Below are 19444 nucleotides of genomic sequence, written 5' to 3' on the forward strand. Positions count from 1 at the left end.
CACTCTGATTAAACATATACAGTTGGAGGAAAAATAAAAGTGACTTCCAATGCAGCTTCAAGATAAGCTCCCTACCTCCCTTCTAATCTGATGGCTGTCCCTAAGCCCCTCCTATATAGAAATTCTGGAGCTGCCTGTACTTGTGGAAGGAAGCCAAGTCTATTTTAAATTAACTTAAAATAAATGAAGAATTTAACTGAAGTAAAGTAGTTAAGTATATAAATTCAGTTTGTTCACTACAAGCATGTGGTCTCAAAACTGAATGCCACTTGCAGTCTAATTTTTTAGAATGAGCACATAAAAAAGGAGAAGAGGAAATTCTTTCTTGATTTTGCTCTTCTTCAAATGAGAAGGTGTCTGCCACAAAGAAAAATGTAAAATAATGTATCGTTGGCAAAGTGCTAGAGGAACCTCCACTGGAAAAGGGTGTGAAGGGTTCCTTTTTATCCCTTTCCCTCGCACTTCTCATGGTATTTGGAATGGTGTTGAAACTCCCTGTAAAAATACAATGGCAACATTCTGTAAGGGGAAGTGACAAGGTGAAGAAAACTTGTTTGATTCTTAAGAAAAGCTGTCACATAAATGTCTCCTAAATAGTCTCTAAGGAAAGTTTTTAATAACTATATCTCCGCTAATCGCCTTGAGTTGAAAAGTGTAGGTAGGAAACGAAGAGTGGTAGTGGTAGTAAAAGATGGAAAAAACCAAACGAAGAGTGAAGAAAAAAGTTATTAAAAGCATAGCAGTATAGTTGCAACCTATATTCAGGGCATTTTTAGGATATGGAGAAAGGTTGATGAACATTATTTAAATTGGCAGTAAAAGTGAGTAGGAATGTTTTGGGGTTTTGTTTTATATGACTGTGATATGAGAGATCAGTATAAAACAAAAAGCAGAAATGTCAAATATATTAAGTTAAAAAAGCACACTAGCATTAATGGGTCAGATTCATATAGCATCCATCTCCTGCTAGACATAACCAGCCATTCACAAAGATCTGAACTTTTGCCAGCTTCAGTTTTCTGCCAAACACACCCTGTTTGCAGCACTTTATAGATGAGCACTTTCACTGTGACCAGACATCTTGGAGCCCCTGTTTCATGAATAACCCTTAGACTGTCACCTGTGATTGGACATGAAAATACTAAAATATTGTAAGGTTTTGTTATCAGAGAGTAGATTAAAGTTTAGAGTTTAGAAAGTGCAGCTACAATTTTTTTAAAACTGTGAGAACAGAGCAACTGATTCAGATTTACGATGCTTTTTCTTTAATTTAATGGCACTTAAGATGTAGTTAAATTTTATAAACAGTACTACTCTCCTCTGCTTATAAACCATGGGGTGATGTTTGCCTTCTTTACAATTATGCCTTCATTACAGTGATGAGCTGACAATTTCTGGGATAAAATTTATATACATGGGTAGTCAATCTGGAATATCCAGAGCCCCTTAAATACTTTTGCTCTTAGTAGTAGTTGCAGTGGTGTTATCAGTATTAACAATACTAGTATTAGTAGTAGTAATAGTACTTATTAAGCCTGCAGCATGCCAGGCACTGTCAATTATTTTCACATTGAAAAGAATCTGGATTTAGTATATATTATCATTGATGAATATACCAGTATTATTTCTGCATTTTGGAGATCAGAAACTGAGGTTTAAAGAGGTCATTTAATTTAAGACCATACAGTGGTAACTAGTGGATTTGACTTAGAAAGTCTACTATGAGGCACTATATAGCTAAACCCTATTTACAAGAATCACACAACAGAATGGAATTGTTTGAATAATTTCCTCCTCACTTTCATTTCACTTAGAACAAAAGAGGCTTGACAATTAGCAGGTTTATTAACCAATGCACGAGATCAATACAAATATTATAACCATACCCCAAAGTATTTGGGTGGTAATGGAAGTACATTGTTCTTTTTTTAATTTTTATTTTGTGACTGAGAGATATGAATTCCTTGGAACATTGGGGAATGCTCTGCCACAGCAAATTGAGATAAAGCGTAACTGTCTTGGGAGTAATGAAAGCTCAGGCAGGGGAAATTTCTCACAAAATGAGTTCCTAGGCTGTATCATTTGCTGTTCATGGAGTCTACATGCTTGGCAAGAAACTACAAAAGTGTATGTTCTTCTCCAGTTTAGGAGAGGTTGGTCAGGTAGCCCAGTAATAAAACTGTGGCTGAAGGCTGGCTCACAAACGCAGAGAGTGTCCTGTGTCCAGACCTCTGTTTATCATCCAGCTTTTCAGGATTTTTTGGGGGTAGGCAGGGAGGACTGGAGGATGGTAGGATGTCAGGATTATGTATAAAAGGAATCCAGCTATGTTCTTCTCTTAGTTATACTTCCTTAAAAATAGGGACTTCATTATTTTATTTGAATACACAAAGCTTTATTATTATACTTATCCACCGAACTGCTCTTAATGCATGTAAAGAAGTGCACACGCATACACGAAATGGAAAACAAGACAGTACATTTAAACCTTGAAAACTTCATGCCCCCAAAATCTGATAGGCTAATAAAAAGACCTAAATCACACATCTTTGCCTATATTTACTCCTCAGTCTCACTTTACTGGTCAGACTTCTGTCCTGCTGAAGCTTCAGTAGAGACCTGTGATAAACTGCAGTAGTGTTTCAGGATGGATGTTCTAAAGATCATGTTGGTCTTTGTGGCTAAGAGACAGGATCCAACCGTTGTCCTTTATTGGACTAATTGTTCTGCACTTTGGGCTGTCTTTCTGGGTTTCTGATATTCAAAGGTATTTTAAAGACACAGCATATCCACACTATGAGATGCTTTGATGGCAAGATCCATGTTTTGTGAAGACCAGAGAACTGCCTCTTACATCATGCCTTTGACTTTGGAGCATTAGAGTTGCACCTAAGCACCTCTCTCAAACCTTTCTTCCAGTAAGTCCCACTGTGATCGATTATCCCTGAACAATCCAACGGTGTATAAACAACAAATTTGTTTCACTTTTCTATCGTTTCTTCTTTTGAAACAATTTCCTAAAGTGCCCTAACATTTTTATTTATCTGTGCTAAAGAAACATTTCTTTACACTTATTTCTAAAATATAAATATTTTTATTTTTGCCAAGCATAAATTATATACTTCTTGTTGTAAAAGTTAAAACAATGGAGAAATACTAAAGTAGAAAATGGAAGTTCCCTGGAATCTCATCCCAAATATAATGATGATTATAATAAAAATCAAAATAACATCTTTAAGTGTTATGTGCCAAGCAAAGCTTTTCATATGCATTAGCATATATATTTCTCATAATAGTTCTGTGTGACGGGTACTATTATTTCCCAGTTTAGTACATGAGAGAACTGAGGGATAGAAGATTAAGTTATTTATGTAATGCCATGCAGGTAGTAAGTAGAAAAACTGGAACTTAATTACTATATTCAAATAGTAAAGTCTTAATTACTATATTTAACTAGATAAGGGCTGATCACTGGAAGCACTTTTTAAAAAGTTAAAGAAATTATGAAAGATGAATTACACATGACTTAAGATTTTATTTTAACTTAAAATGTACATTCATAAATTCATTCCTTAACCATTGATGTAACACCAAGGCACACCTGTAATATAAATTTCAATTGCTGTAACTTTATAGTGGGGTAAATAAATTCTTCAAAGCCTTTTTTTTTTTTTTAAAAGGTCAGCTTTATGGAGTTTTTCTAAAACAATTAATTTCGTTTTCGTAGGAACAACTCTTTTTGTTCTTATGTTTTACTAGTTGTGTAATTTTAAAATAAACTGGGTTGTTACAACAACAGGTACCAAACTAGCTTTAACCAGTTTGGGGTCAAAATCCACAGACTCCTGGTAAGCAAACAATGCAGCAGGTGAGGTTGGAAGTGCCTGGGACTTACTAGGCTCTAAGCATTCAGCACTGCCCTGGGCATCTGCCTGGACTTCTTACAGAGGGAAACCGAGCTTGTAGGTGAATTGGTAAAGTCAAAATCGGTGAAGAGAACTCTACCTACTAGGTAACGTGGAATTATCCAGCATGTGAAGAGGCATCCATGCAGAAGTCATTTGCCAAAGAGAACTTGTTTCTTTCTTTCTATGCCTCAGCGGTATCTAAGAGCATGTATTATCAAAGACTACTACCCTGCGTAATTTTTCCCCCATCTTCCCATTTTTGTTTTTTGTCTTTTTTTTTTTTTTTTTTTGAGACGGAGTTTCACTTTTATTGCCTAGGGTGGAGTGCAGTGGCGCGATCTCTCCACTCACTGCAACCTCCACCTCCCGGGTTCAAGTGATTCTCCGGCCTCAGCCTCCTGAGTAGCTGGGATTATAGGTGCCTGCCACCATGTCCACCTAATTTTTGTATTTTTAGTGGAGAAGGGGTTTCGCTGTGTTAGTCAGGCTGGTCTCAAATTCCTGACCTCAGGTGATCTGTCCATCTAGGCCTCCCAAAATGCTGGGATTACAGGTGTGATCCACTGCACCTGGCCCTGGCCAGCATCCCTTTTTTTTTTTTTTTTTTTTGATACGGAGTCTCACTCTGTCACTGGGCTGGAGTGCAATGGTGTGATCTCGGCTCACTGCAACCTGCACCTCATGAGTTCAAGTGATTCTCCTGTCTCAGCCTCCCAAGTAGCTGTGCCTACAGGTGCACGCCACAACGCCCAGCTAATTTTTGTATTTTTAGTAGAGATGGGGTTTCATCATATTTGCCAGGATGGTCTCGATCTCTTGAACTCGTGATCTGCCCGCCTCAGCCTCCCAAAGTGCTGGGATTACAGGTGTGAGCCACCAAGCCCGGCCCGGCCAGCATCTTTTTAATGTAAATTCATATACCTGATTAATTTCAGTTTGTTTTGGCAACCAAGTCTTCAAAACATAAACATTAAGGAGTGCAGTGACTTCCCCAGGAAGGAAAAAATCTAAAGCCACTCCCTTGAGACTGGGCCGGCACTAAAAAAAAGAAATAGAACTGAATATGAACTGCTTTGGAGGGAAGGTGCTGTTATTTTCACTGGTTTTATCAATAGCAGTATTTCTCAAAGTGTGGTCTATATACCACCTGCTATCGGAAATCACCTAGCTACTTATTCAACAGTAGATTTCTGGGCCTCAGACTCTCTGGGAATGGTTCCTGGAATCAGCATACTAGTGTAGGCACAGTAAAATTTGTGAACCATTGGTCAACCGGAGAAAGCCCAAACTTCTTAATGTGGTCTATAAGGTGCCATATAAGCTGGCCCTGCCCCACCATTTAGCCAAATGAGCGTGCCATTTTGTTTCTAGTGTCAGTTCCTCTGCCCTTATTTCTTCTAGGAATGCATACCCTCACGTTTTCCTTTCCTATCCTACTAAGAAAATCCCTTCAAATCCTTGGTTGGGTCTCCTTCTTCTGATTCCCTCCTGGATGGCTTATCTCCTAAAGCAGACCTGGGGAGTTCCTCCATTCTGACTTTGTTGTCACTCCCTCTCCCACTGACATGTACGTTGTATTTCTATCATAGTATGCATCACCTGGATTTGCAATTACGTTTTTACCTGCATGGTGCTCCTATTATACTGTGAAATCCAGGAGTGCAGAGATGGAGATTTATTCATCTGTATTTCCCCGGAGTCTATGCCCGCACTTGGCAAATAATAATGGTAACAAATATTTGCTGAAAGAATGAACAAATGATTTGGGGGAAGCATGCTTTCCACTCAGTCTCCCACCATACTAGCCTGGAAGCATGAATGTTCTCTTGCTGTGATGCATTCTCCTGGCTATGCAATGTTTCCTTTCAATTCCAAGTTGAGGAGACTGAAGGAGAAGGGGTCCTCTTGCGGTGACCATTCTTGCAAATCTCTTTTTGTTATTGAAAGAGGGATCAAAGGCACAACCCCGAGCGGCCTGTTCAAACCTTTGTTATTACTTTCCTTTTGCAGCTTGGGACTAAGAGGAGGAATTTATGTATATATTAGTACACACTTTGATCTACCTTGGTACCTTGATCTACCTTGATGTGCAAGGTACCTTGTTCACAGTTGTTACCAGTGAGACTATCATATAATGCAATAAGGGAATGTCTGTGTGACAGCCAGGTGATGTTGAAGAAACGTATGGGTTTATTTCATTAGGAGTAATGTTTTCTCAGCAGATACCAGTTTGCATGCATAATGTGATTCTTAGGGTGCCACAGCAGATACTTTTTGTTAGGATAAAATAATTGCATTACTTTGCTACTTGCAGATTCATTAATGAAAAGCCTGAGATCTCCCATCAGTTTTGTTAGTCCTTTTCTCATTCAGGACTATTTCCCTGAGGTCAGCTTTCGTCAGGCCATGTATCTCATCGGCCCTGCCTGACCGCTAGAACTTAAATGCCTCTTAGCAAGTGCCTAAGCCTGCCCTCTGTGACTGCGGAATTACTTGGCAAAGAAAGAAAAGCTCTTTGGGGACAGATAGCTTGTCTCTATATTCTTCACTGGAATGTTCCCCAAAATGAGGTGCCCACCACCTCATGGGTTTACATGGTTCACATTTTAATTGCTACATATTTATTTTATTAAAAATAATTAAACTGGCATATAAAACTTGTGATTTAATGTTTAGAGGGAGGTTAAAGTAGGAATACAAGTTTGAAAGTGACACTGTTTAAAGAAAAGTTTTAAAAATTAGTATTAAAAATAAGATGAGGAAATGACTAAAATAATTAAAGCAATATTCAAATAACTAATGCATGAGAAGTACTATGATATAGTATAGTTCCTGATACATAGTAAGTGCTTAATATAAATTTATTGGAATGAATAAATAAATAATAAAAATATTAATAATAACTAAATTTTGTTATATGGTTGTTTTGTGTCCAGGTATTTTTCCAGAAGTTTTACATGCAATATTATATTTGATTCTCACTTTTAGTAGTCAGAATCCATTGGGAAAAGTTCCATTTTATTTACATTTTGTAGATGAAGAAACTAAAGAATAGAAAATAACTTACGCAGACTCACACAGCTAGTTGTGTGAGATCTACTCTCTGCTACCAAACCCATGCACACAAGTGTACTTCTATGCATCTCAAATATTATAAGTTAAAATGAGTTTTTTATTTCCATTTCCACCTAGCTTCCCTAAGGTGTTAAAAATATTCCAACATGTTAAAGGTTAGCTCAATTAACTCTGCTGTGATGAGTGTGCTGCCAATATTTTACATTTGATAAATTACGTTGGAGCTTGCCTGGTTAAACAACATGCATTTTTTGAAGTCTTAAGTATTTGCACAAGCCTAATTTTTGGTTCCTTCTTTTGTCTTCTCATCAAGAACTTTTCTTCAGTTTCACTGTCAATGTTGTAAGAATGTTATGTCATGGCTTAAGATTTCCATGGATTTTATCATATACCGACCCAAACCATAGTCTTTCTAGAATAAGTCTAATGGCAGGGACTATGCTCTATTTTGGAAAACTGTGTTGCTTGAGTAAAAATGGCTCTGATAATCATCAAGACATGAATGCCAAAGGTGCTTGTGAAAACTTTGACCGTGAGTGAAATGAGTTTTTCAAAATTGCTACGCTATTTTATGTTGATAATTGTATATATAAAGGTATAAATATACTTATAAATATTATAAATTGATATTTGTATATTTCACTTATATTAGCAAAGAGTTATACATTCAACTTGACTGAAAGCTCCTCTTTTACCATTGCTTTATATTTAGAGTATGTCTGTTCAGTACCAGGTACAATGACCTATTAGCCAGGACAGTAGAAATGGGCTAAATATTGATTAAGTCTCACAACCTGGTAAATAAAACCAGGTAACAGTCTCAGAAGACTTTCTCAGATCTTTGGGGAATCTCAGAATACCAGTAGCTTCTAATTTCCTGCAATTATAATCTTTTAAAATTTAACACTATGTACATTCTCTATGCATAGTCCCCCTCTGTGAAATCTGAGGGCTAAAAAGGAAAAAGGTATTTGGAAGAAGAATGTATTATAGAGTTTTCTTAGTTTCATTAAAATTATAAATTCTTAGCAAGTGCCTAAGCCTGCCCTCTGTGACTGCGGAATTACTTGGCAAAGAAAGAAAAGCTCTTTGGGGACAGGTAGCTTGTCTCTATATTCCTCACTGGAATGTTCCCTGAAATGAGGTGCCTACCACTGAGATGGGTTTACATGGTTCACATTTTAATTGCTACATATTTATTTTATTAAAAATAATTAAACTGGCATATAAAACTTGTGATTTAATGTTTAGAGGGAGGTTAAAGTAGGAATACAAGTTTGAAAGTGACACTGTTTAAAGGAAAGTTTTAATAATAATAAACATTTGTGATTTCTTTGGTGCAACTCATTTGCTACCTGTGATAGGACATGAGTGTTATGGTTTAGAATAATTTCAGAGCTTAGTGACAGTCTTAAAAGCTGAAAATGGTTATTTTTCTTTTTATTTGTTTTTTTTTTTTCACTTTTTCCATACTAGCTTTAGGGAATAGATGGTTCAGACCATAAGTAGATAATGGGGATTATGGGCATTTCATATGTAATGTAAATGCCAATTCTTTTTGAGACGGAGTTTCACTCTTGTTGTCCAGGCTGGAGTGCAATGGCGTGATCTCGGCTTACTGCAACCTCCACCTTCTGGGTTCAAGTGATTCTCCTGCCTCAGCCTCCTAAGTAGCTGGGATTACAGGCACATGCCACCACACTTGGGTAATTTTGTATTTTTAGTAGAGATGGGTTTTCACTATGTTGGTCAGGCTGGTCTTGAACTCCTGACTTCAAGTGATCCACCCATCTCGGCCTCCCAAGGTGTTGGGATTACAGGCATGAGCCACCATGCCCAGCTGTAAATACCACTTCTTGATGAAAACTTTGCTACTCTATTGGGAAACCCAATGATCTCATCATTAATTATTAAAACTGTAAGGTTCTTTGGAAACCTTGTTTTCTAGAATTTCTCAAAATGTAGGTCATGAATCACCTGCTTCGAAATCACCTAGGGTGTTAAAAATGTGTATTCCTAGTCTCCATTCTGCAGCATGATATCTCCAAGGGAGACCAGAGAATATAAATTTTTCAGAAGCTCCCCAGGCAATTCTTATGAACCCTAGATTTTGGTAATTACTTCAATCCCTTCGTAGTACATAGAAATTGAGGCATGATACAGTGAAGTGACTTATCAGTGGCAAACTAGGCAGTTAATAACAAACTTCTCTGCTTGGCTGTTTAAAACCGTCTAGGTTAGCTGCAATGTTTTAATTCACTTGACATGCATCTTTCTGTCTCAGCTGTGTAGTTATGTAACTTAATTACTTCTTAGTTTGATTTGACGGCCTTATTCTATTAGATAAGATGTGTTAATTACCCTGATGGCAATATGTGATAATAATGGCTCAGTGTTACATTAATAATTTCAAGATCATGAATAATATGCAACACCTCTGTGTCTGAGCCATTATTAATTTGTTTCACCAGTGGTGAAGTGTTTAAAATTCAGTTTCAAGCATGTCTTCTCAGAGGCAAAAAGAATAATACATGTATTGAAAAACCTGTCCTTTATTCTGTTCTTAACTTTGTCCTTGCTATCAAAATTAGCTATATATTTTACCTAACTAATCAGGTAAAAATTGCATTTATTTATTTTTTTAAATACAGGTAAATTGAGAGTGAAAGGAGTAAAGAAAAAATACAGATAAATCAAAATAAAGTATTTGCTAATACAGATGGAGAAAGTGTAGAAGCAATATAAATTTTGTGAAATTACATCACATGATTGATCTCGAGGGATAAGAATAATTCTAAAAGCAGATTTTTTTTATTGTCCTGAGTTTATGAGTAGCCATAAAATCATAGTTCCTCACCTGCTCCTTATTTAGATTATGATTAAGCAGTTGATAGGTAGGCAGAAGAGAATGTCGTGGACACCTGTTCTATCTACCTGCCTAGCATCCCCAAGTCTATGAGGGAACCATCTTCACTGTCCATAGTTGTGCAGTCAACTCAGGATTGATCAATCAGCATCTTCCATCCTACTGTTTGGTATAAAGATGACATGTGATATAAGTTGATCTAATCAGAGCTAATCCTGGGACTTTCTAGAGCAGTTGGGAAATATATGTACTGAGAATGGGGGTCATGAACTTGGAGTGACTGACACCCAGCTTACCACCATGAAAGAAAAATTTACCATCACAGAAAAAACAAACAAACAAACAAAAAAAACAAAACAGGGCTAAGAGAGGGTCTGTGTGACTGACTCCTAATGAAATAATTTAAATCTCTGAATCTAGCCATGCCTGACATCACCTAATACTGTTTTATTTTTTTAAACCACTATGCAATCAAGATATTCTATATTTTGCTTAAGCCATTGTGGGTGGTGCTTCTCACAATAACAACAAAAGGACATAAACTTTATTAAAAAAAAAAAAAACAAAAACTTCTGAACTCATGAGCTTCCAAGAATAGGAATGAGTTTGCATTGCTGTGCATGCATTCTCTCAAGTCTCCATTGTGACCAGTAAAACGGATTTGCAGCTGGTTTGGGCTAGGGGTAAGGTAACCATAGAATGCATATTCCAAATTAGAAGACTTTTCCTTCTTATCCTTTTATTGTGGAGAATTTTAAACTGACACAAAGGAAATAGAATGATATAATGAACTCCTATGGGCCCATTGATCCATTGGTCAATTCTTCTTCATTCACACCTCATCAACTCCTCCCAGTATTATTTTGAAGTCTTTTCCAGACATCATTTCACTGAATGAAACTAACAGAAAAAGGAAGTGCTATTATGATAGAACTGCAAATGCAAACTAAGACTGTTCCAGAGCCACTGAGACTGATAGTGTGAAATAGATTGAAAAATCAATGGATTAGCATCCATAACCTCAATACTATACTTTTACCAACTGAGACAGTGGACCAACTGGGGCGCTAAAAAGCCTTGAGATATTTTTCTTTTCTATCAGCCTTTTTGGCTATAGATGTGTTTATTGAATACCATGTAAGTCTGGGTTCTCCAAGAAACAGATGCCAAAACAGAATAAATGTGCAAGTTTCATTAGGGACACATGCCCATGAGAGACAATTGGTAGGAAGCCAGGAAAGGCTGGGAGAACATTAGATCATGATACAAATCTAAATCCAAGTAAAGGGGAAAGAAAGAAAGAATGGGTAGATGTGTACTAGGTTTTGCAAGGCTACCAGGAAATTGTTAAGCCAAAGTCAGGCATGAAAGGAGTCCTATGTCTCTTAGGAATCAGCCTGCTCTAATATGGCAGCTGACCTCAGTCCTTGACTGGGGAAAGTCCATGGAAAGTACAACCTCATTGCACAAAAAGAGTTGTAGATTTCAGAGGGTAGCAGCTGGGCCCTTGGGTAATTCTGCTCCCCATAGTTGGAGGTCTGTGAGGCACATTTTCACAGCCACCACATATAGAAAGATTTTCTTCCAAATACTATCAATTTAGTGTACCAGTGTAGTAAAAAGCATGGACTTGGGCATTAGATCAGCCCTATTAAAACCTTAGCTCTACTGCTTAGCTGTGTGACTATAAACAGATCACTTGAATTCAAGATGTAGGAGCTGCTTCACTAATGTTTTACAATTGCATCTTCATGTACTGTGACTACAAGGACTCACTACTATTGAAATGAAAGCAGTAGCATTTGGAGATTTAAGATACTTGGTTATGGCTCTAAGTTGCTTCCTGGCATTAGTGACAAGCAAATTCTGTGTGCCTTTTGTTTTTCATTTGCTTCCAAATTCAATCTCTTCCCATTGCTTGAAATGTGGGAAGTTTAGGGAAAAAAGGTCACAGGAAACACACTATCTTCTCTCTCAACTGCCTCCTTCCATCTCCTACATTTACCATGATGTAACTAAATAGTACCCCAGACTCCAGCCAGTATTTTCTGAGCAGCCTGAGAGTCAATGTGCATGTTTAATTTCTACCTTTGAAGCAATCTGATAATTCTATTTACCAGCAGTAACCAGTCAAATGGACTTTTAGAGAATTCACCAAGAAGGCTTTAGTTTTTCAGAAACTATCTTTGTCTGTGAGATACCATCTCACACCCATCAGAATGGAGATTATTAAAAAGTCAAGAACCAACAGATGCTGGTGAGGCTGTGGAGAAATAGGAATGCTTTTATACTGTTGATTGGAAAGTAAATTAGTTCAACCATTGTGGAAGGCAGTGTGGCATACCTCAAAGACCTAGAACCAGAAATACCATTTGATCCAGCAATCCCATTACTGGTTATATACCCAAAGGAATATACATCATTCTATTATAAAGATACATGCACTCGTATGTTCACTGCAGCACTATTCACAATAGCAAAGGCATGAAATAAACCCAAATACCCATCAATGATACATTGGATAAAGAAAATGTGTTACATATACATCATGGAATACTATGCAGCCATAAAAAGGAACAAGATCATATCCTTTGCAGGGACATGGATGGGGCTGGAAGCCATTATCCTCAGCAAACTAATGCAGGAACAGAAAACCAAACACTGCATGTTCTCATTTATTAAGTGGGAGCTGAATAATGATAACACATGGACACAGGGAAGGGAACAACACACACTGGGACCTGTGGCAGGGGTGAAGGGAGGGAGAGCATCAGAAAAAATAGCTAATGCATGCTGGGCTTAATACCTAAGTGATGGGTTGATAGGTTCTGCAAACCCGTGGTACACGTTTACTTATGCAACAAATCTGCATGTCCCACACATGTATCCCGGAGCTTATAATAAAATAAAATAAAAAAGACTGTCTTTGTGTGCTATCCATGATGGCAACGAAAGAGTTTTATAGGTTAGATCTCTTCCCTCTGATTATTTGGACAAAAAATGATGGCTATTATAATAGACATGCACAGACACACATATACACAAATCTTTTCACCACCTGCCACTACAATAGTTCAAGCTACCCTTGTCTCTTATCAAGATTTCTGATGGACTCCTTTCTAGCCTGTTTGGCTCTAGAAGAACCTCCCTGTGTCTAATAGGACATCTGATCAAGTCACAAGGCTGCTTAGAGTCCTGCAGTGATTTCCCATTGCTCCCAGGATACGGTCTAATTCTTCAACAGGAATCAAAGGCCTTTCATGCTCTCTGCTTCCACCTCCTGATGAACCCTCTCCTCCTTCCTCACTTGCCCTCTCCCCCTCCCCTTAGATTTTACACTCAACCTACTGTCATGTGCTCTCCCAGTTCTGGGCCTTGAACAGATTATTTTCTTTGACTGGAAGCTTCTTCCCTCTTTTCTTATTCTCTATTCTCCTTTCGGCCTAGCTATTTATACTTCTCTTTCAAGTTTCAGCCTGGGTATGACGTGCTCTGAAAGCATTCATTGGCAGTACATCCTGAAGAGGCACCTTGACCACGAGCTTCTGGAGCACCAGTACTTTCCCCAGCAAAGCCCTCATCAAGCTGTGTCCTAACTGCCTCTTGACTTGCCTGTTTCCCCTCACCCCTTGATTGTGAACTTAGGAACTGCCCCTGTGCACTGCCAAATCTTCAGTGTCTAGAACAGTGCTTGGTACAGAGTAGGCATTTAATAAAACCTGTTCAATTAGTAAAAGATTCCATGTAGGGGCTCTGCAATATGTAAATATGTTACTATGTATTCCATTTCATTTTTATGAAACACCTTATCAGGAGAAGATTAATAATTAATGATAATAATAGTGGACTCAGTAAAAGGTATTTTTAATGTGATTATTTTAATTATGTAAAATGTAAAATGTCTTGTTTTCTCAGAGAACTCAACTCAGGTCATCCATGAAAACAAGTATATTTTATAAAATATTTGGCAGTTATTAAAGGGAAGACATCAAAATGAAACAAATCTGTGACTATTTTTCCTCATCAGTTACCATGGGAGGCATCCCTTCAAGAACACCATCTCTAACATGGATGCCTAAGTCTGTGACAATAAAGTCTGTGAAGTAAATTGACTGAGAGGGTAATAGTAAATACAGAATATCAGTGGATGCCTGAAACTAGCAGGAGAAAAATAGAAAATAATTATCTCATCGAGGAACAAATAGATCTATTGATAGTATAAATTTTTAAAAAATGTTTGTAACCTTTTCCATTAAGTATACTAGTTTATGATAAGTTGAAATATTTTGCCATCTGCCTTATGAAACTCCACTCAATCTGTGCAATTCAAAGTATTAAAATGGAAATAAAATAAATACTGTTTCACATATAAAACAAATTGGACCTTATAACTAATCATTTCTTCTCATTTCAATACCTCCCACTATTCTCTTCTTAACTGAAAATGACTGCAAGGAGGCTTTTATGGGGAGTTGGATTTTCACCTAGTTGAAAGATCAGTTTGTAATTCACAAAAAAAAAAGAAAGAAAAGAGAAGAAAAAAAGAAAGAAAGAAAAATCCAGTTCCTTTTATTTGCCTCTAGGACCTAATTCTTTGTCTTTTGGGAAATAAATTATCCTTAACAAAGTGCTTCTTAAAATTCTTATCCTCAGTAATGAAAGACTCTTCCAAGCAGATATGTTGTATTTGTAATTAAAAGGTTTCCTGTCCCTATATTATAACATTATGGCCAGCCTTCAACATATTTGAAGTAATTAGAGTATAAATTCAGTAACTGAGCGTTCTGAGAAAATTCTGAGGAAATTGCAGAGTTTTGAGGAAAATTTAGCATTTGATAGAGTGCGGGAACTAAACGATCCATTTGGAACTTATTGGTGTGGAAGCAAAACTATTTACCGCTGGAAGCTATGGTGGCAATGTTGGCAACGGTGAAGATTTTGCCTCTAGGTGCAGGTATGACAGTATTTCCTCAGACAGAAGTACATATAGTATTTTTTAAGGCTACATAATATTGGTGGCCTGCAGCTAAGAACCTATGTTCTAGTGATCTATGGAATTTGGATATTATTTCTAAGTAAGCCCTTCTCCTTGCTATGAGTGACATATACCTACTAGATTTGAAGATTCAGTCAATTTCCAAAAATGCATCTTCTAGAATAGCTTTGTGCCTTCCTGATTGCTCCTCCAAGTCTAATGCTGGCTCTGTCTTCAACTATTACCTTTTTTGGATGGTTTTCCTGATCTTGCCTATCTCTTCCCATTAGAATTCATGAACCCTTCTTCCTGTTTCCATGGTATCCAATATAGAGCTGTGTATGCTTGCCACACAGTATTTTGAAATAATTAATTTTATTTGATGTTTTTATATGTGTACCTCAGTCTCCCTTTCTACAGATAATCACTGTTAACAGTTTCTTGTGTTTCTTTCCATAAAACAGAAATTTTGCATTTTCCGATGCACATGTGACTAAATATACACATGAATTAAAAAAATGACCCACAAAAAATCATATTTTTGGAAATATTTTTCATCCTGCTTTTTATTTAATATATGTAGGATGTAATTCTATGAACACATGCAGGCTTGCGTCATTTTTTAAAACAGCTATCTAATAATTCCATTTTATGGATGTTTTATAATTTATAATTATTTGGGTTCCTAATTACAAACACTTTGCTGGTTTGCAGCTTTCCGATGTTATAAACACTGCAGTGAAGAATCCCTGGTGAACATCTGCAAGTATGTCTTCAGGATACATCCAAAACAGTGGGATTTCAGGGTCTGAGGGCGTGTGTTTATTTAATATTGGTAGATTAACTCTACAAAATGTTTCATCAATTAGCCTCCCACCAACAACATCACACTATGTATAAAAATTGGTTTACTTTCTCTCCTCACTTAGAAAGTGAGAAAAGTGAGTGTAGAGCAGTGCTTTTTATCTCAGGATCCCCACTGCACCTAACACAGTACTCAATAAATATTTTTAGAAAGGAGAAATAAAGAATGAAAAGTTCTGCTCATATTTTAGCCTGTTTTAACACCATCAGAGTTATGTTGGAGACAATATTAAAGTCACACATTAATATGATACTCAGACAAGTTTGACAATTCATGGAAAGGTGCATATGTGGTTGTGAATTCACTAGGCAATTACATAAATCTCCTCATTAATCTTATTTAGAGGCCGAGGAAGAGGAAGAAGAGATCTTACCAGAATCAATCTGTATCTCCTCTCTTTCGGAGTAGGCCTTCCCCTGAGACTAGCAATTGTTCTGCCTGTTGATTTGAGTGTGTGGGATAGGACCAGGAAGCGAATATCCTCTTTTTTTTTTATTTTTTTTATTTTTTTTTATTTTGCAAGCAGTGAGTGTGTATTCCTGCGAAATTAAGTGCTGAAACAATTTTATCCTGTTGTTTTTCATGTGCATTACATCATCTATGTGTAAACTAACTGTGGCTCCTAAGGACCTCTAGACTCTCTAGCCTGAACATCAAGGCCCTCTATCACAGGCCTCCAGTGTGTGTCCAGCTGCTGTCAGCTACACCCTGCTACTCATAGCTGGAGATCTACTGTGGGTTTTGCCCGCCTGCTTTATGGAATCATTCTGTCCTTCTCCACTGTGAAAAGCACTCTCATTTTCCTGCATCTTATGGCTGGGAAAGACTTTGCTGTAGCTTTTTTCTTTTTTTTTTTTTATCAGCATCTGATTTCTTATTGCCTGATTCATTGATGCCAATCGTTCTTGGTTCAGATTGGCTGCTATAGTGATTTTAAATCTGTATTTAATTTTTTATTGAATGAACTATAAATATGATCACCCATCTATATCCCAGGCTTGAGACTCAGAGCAGTTTTTTAAAGCCCTCTAGTGCTTTTCAAGGCAAACTTATTTGAAATATTGTTTGCATCCCACAATGTTGACACCCTTGGGAGGAAACAAGGTGAATCTTAGAGGTGTTTACTTTCTCCTGCACACTCACTGGCCTGATGCCTATTTGGCTGATCAGGCCTGACTGGCTCAGCACAGGTGTAATGAATGTCTTAGATTACCCAGTGACTTTGAACTTTAATTTTTATTTGCTTGGTTCACTCAAAGAACACCTCTGTGCCACTGTAATCATTAGGATGCTTCATCTCTGCAGGCTGATAGGATTTATGACCCCAGGGTTGGAAAAGCATAAAGAGGAGATGGTCCTCCTGAGAGGTTTGTCTCTTCAGGTTAGTGTTAATGCAGAAGCTGTATTTACCCACTAGATCCCAACACCATAAAAAGTAAACCCACAGCAGAGTGCTAAAAGATGACTCTTGTTTGGAGCCCTTGCAGCATCTAAAAGTGACACTGCAATCAATGAAAGCATTTTATTGGACGCTTGGATTTTACTACAGGAAATCACAAAGCTCTATTATGTACCAAAACAGCAACAGATTTTGTTGGTGGCCTTGAATCAATCTGTTAAATATATTTGAAGGAATATGGATATTAGTAAAGTTGGATAGGAATTTTCAGGTGGTGCCAAGAAATAAGCTTCTACAAATAAACACTCAATCAAACAAACAGAAACACAAGTAGTTGCCTAGTTCCCACAAGTTTGCAGAATACTTTCACATATATCATATGTTCAGTCCACCAACCTTAGGAAGGACATCAGGAAGTCATGATTTGTAGTCATTCTGTTTTAGACATGAAGGTATTTGAAGTGTAGAGGCATTGAGTCATGAGAGGTTGAAATTCTCATAGGTGGTTTTGATGTCTCATTTGTGTTGCATTCCATGACTTCAAAAATTACCAGGAAAGCTATAGTTGCTCCAATTCTAAATTCACCAAGTCCATTAAAGTAGGCTGAGTATCTAGAGTGCAAAATAAAGTCACAATTTGTAAGATATTCAGCTTATTGAAATAATATGTACATTCCACATGGATAGTTCAATCACTTAAAAGAAGACATCTAGGCCAGGAGTGGTGGCTCACGCCTGTAATCCCAGCACTTTGGGAGGCCAAGGTGGGTGGATCACCTGAGGTTAGGAGTTTGAGACCAGCCCGACCAATATGGTGAAACCCCGTCTCTACTAAAAATACAAAAATTAGCCACGCGAGTTGGTGCACTCCTGTAGTCCCAGCTACTGGGGAGAGTGATACAGGAGAATTGCTTCAACCTGGGAGGCAGAGGTTGCGGTGAGCCGAGAACATACCACTGCACTCCAGCCTGGGCAACAAGAGCGAAACTCCATCAAAAAAAAAAAAAAAAAAAAAAAGACATCTAAGGCTTTATTTACTGGGATTATAAAAATAATCTGACTCTTACAGTATTACCCATTCATTCATTTATTTGTTTAAAATTTATTAAGCATTCTCTTTGTACCAGGTATTGTGCTATAATAGATATACAAATGAGTAACATTTAATTCCTACTTCTTAAATACAATAATAATAATACTAGATAATATTTACTGATGCTAGCTTCTGATATGTCAAGCAATGTGTTAATAACTTAAGACATATTACAACATTGATTACCAATAGCCTCTTATGGTATAGGTTATCTTATTATCCCTATTTTCCAGATAAGGTAATTGAAGCTCACATCCAAGGTAGGCTGTTAAATGGCAGACTTGAACTGCATTCAAGATCTGGTGTGATCCCGAAGCACACAGTTTTTAATCTTTCCGTATCTTTTTCTTCCCATGCTCTGCTGCTGATGGTCTGGGATAGACAGGCAAAGAAACAGATGACTTAGTAATAAACTGGAGGGACTTTAATAACAACGGAATAAATGAAGTGCTGTAGGAATGTAAAGTGAGGAAAATTAGAGAGGACTGGACTTAGTAGATGGAACTGAACTTGGTTCTTAAAATAGCCATAAACTTTTTCTAAGCAAAGAAAGAGAAAAGCCATTCCAGGAAGAAAGGAAAATAGAGCAAAAGCATGGAGTTACATCTAAGAGTTTCTGCTTTAGGCAGTATAGAAAGTATTCCTTGGTCGCCAAAAGTTTAGTGAGTCCTTGTAGAGTTCCTGGTACTGCATCAGTTACTTGAGGCACTGACTATGGAGTGGGCCTGGTCTTGTGGACATGGTCTTTTGCTTTAAGCTAAAAAGAACTCCTCAAATTTGTATGATAATCAGACCTCAAGGCACAGCACCATTACAGGACTGGCCATTTCAGTAACACATAGAAGTATCCTGAGCTCTGAATTCCAATGCATTGGTCTTAGGTTTTATTAGCTCTCAACAATGTGAGGATTGCTACTTAAATATGCAAAAAGACTTCAAGTCATCATCTAATTCACACAAGAGATAGTAGCATAGGTTGAAAAGCAGGGAGTATATAATTACCCAGGAGCAGATAAGTGAGAGTTGACAGCTGTCAAACAATGTGTTACCCTAGATGTGAAGCATAGTTATGGATGGGGAATGGGAGTCTGTCCATTTCCCTATAGATTTGAAGACTCTGAGCTCTCTTAATTGAAGGTACAATGTTACTGTCACTCACCAATGGTAGTATCATGTTATTAAGAGTCTGAGAGAATTCTAACAATATCCTAGGAAGACTCTCTATCCTTAAGGAGCAGTGGGAAAGTCTCAGAGCTTACTGGA

The 19444-nt window shown here is 37.3% G+C and overlaps 1 protein-coding gene across 4 annotated transcripts in view, besides 1 other annotated feature; it reads left to right on the top strand.

Annotated features, from left to right (window-relative positions):
- The window catches only part of KCTD16 (potassium channel tetramerization domain containing 16), a 314814-nt gene that overhangs the window by 141457 nt on the left and 153913 nt on the right, over positions 1 to 19444 (top strand). The window lies entirely within an intron of this gene.
- Positions 5540 to 6052: an enhancer, noted in NCBI's record as "OCT4-NANOG hESC enhancer chr5:143697432-143697944 (GRCh37/hg19 assembly coordinates)". NCBI's record gives its function as "activates a minimal SCP1, AML or CMV promoter by ChIP-STARR-seq in naive and primed H9 embryonic stem cells {active_cell/tissue: H9 hESC(naive and primed)}" and the evidence as "EXISTENCE:reporter gene assay evidence [ECO:0000049][PMID:30033119]".

Source organism: Homo sapiens, chromosome 5, assembly GCF_000001405.40.
Source record: "Homo sapiens chromosome 5, GRCh38.p14 Primary Assembly".
In the NCBI taxonomy this organism is placed as follows: Eukaryota; Metazoa; Chordata; class Mammalia; order Primates; family Hominidae; genus Homo; species Homo sapiens.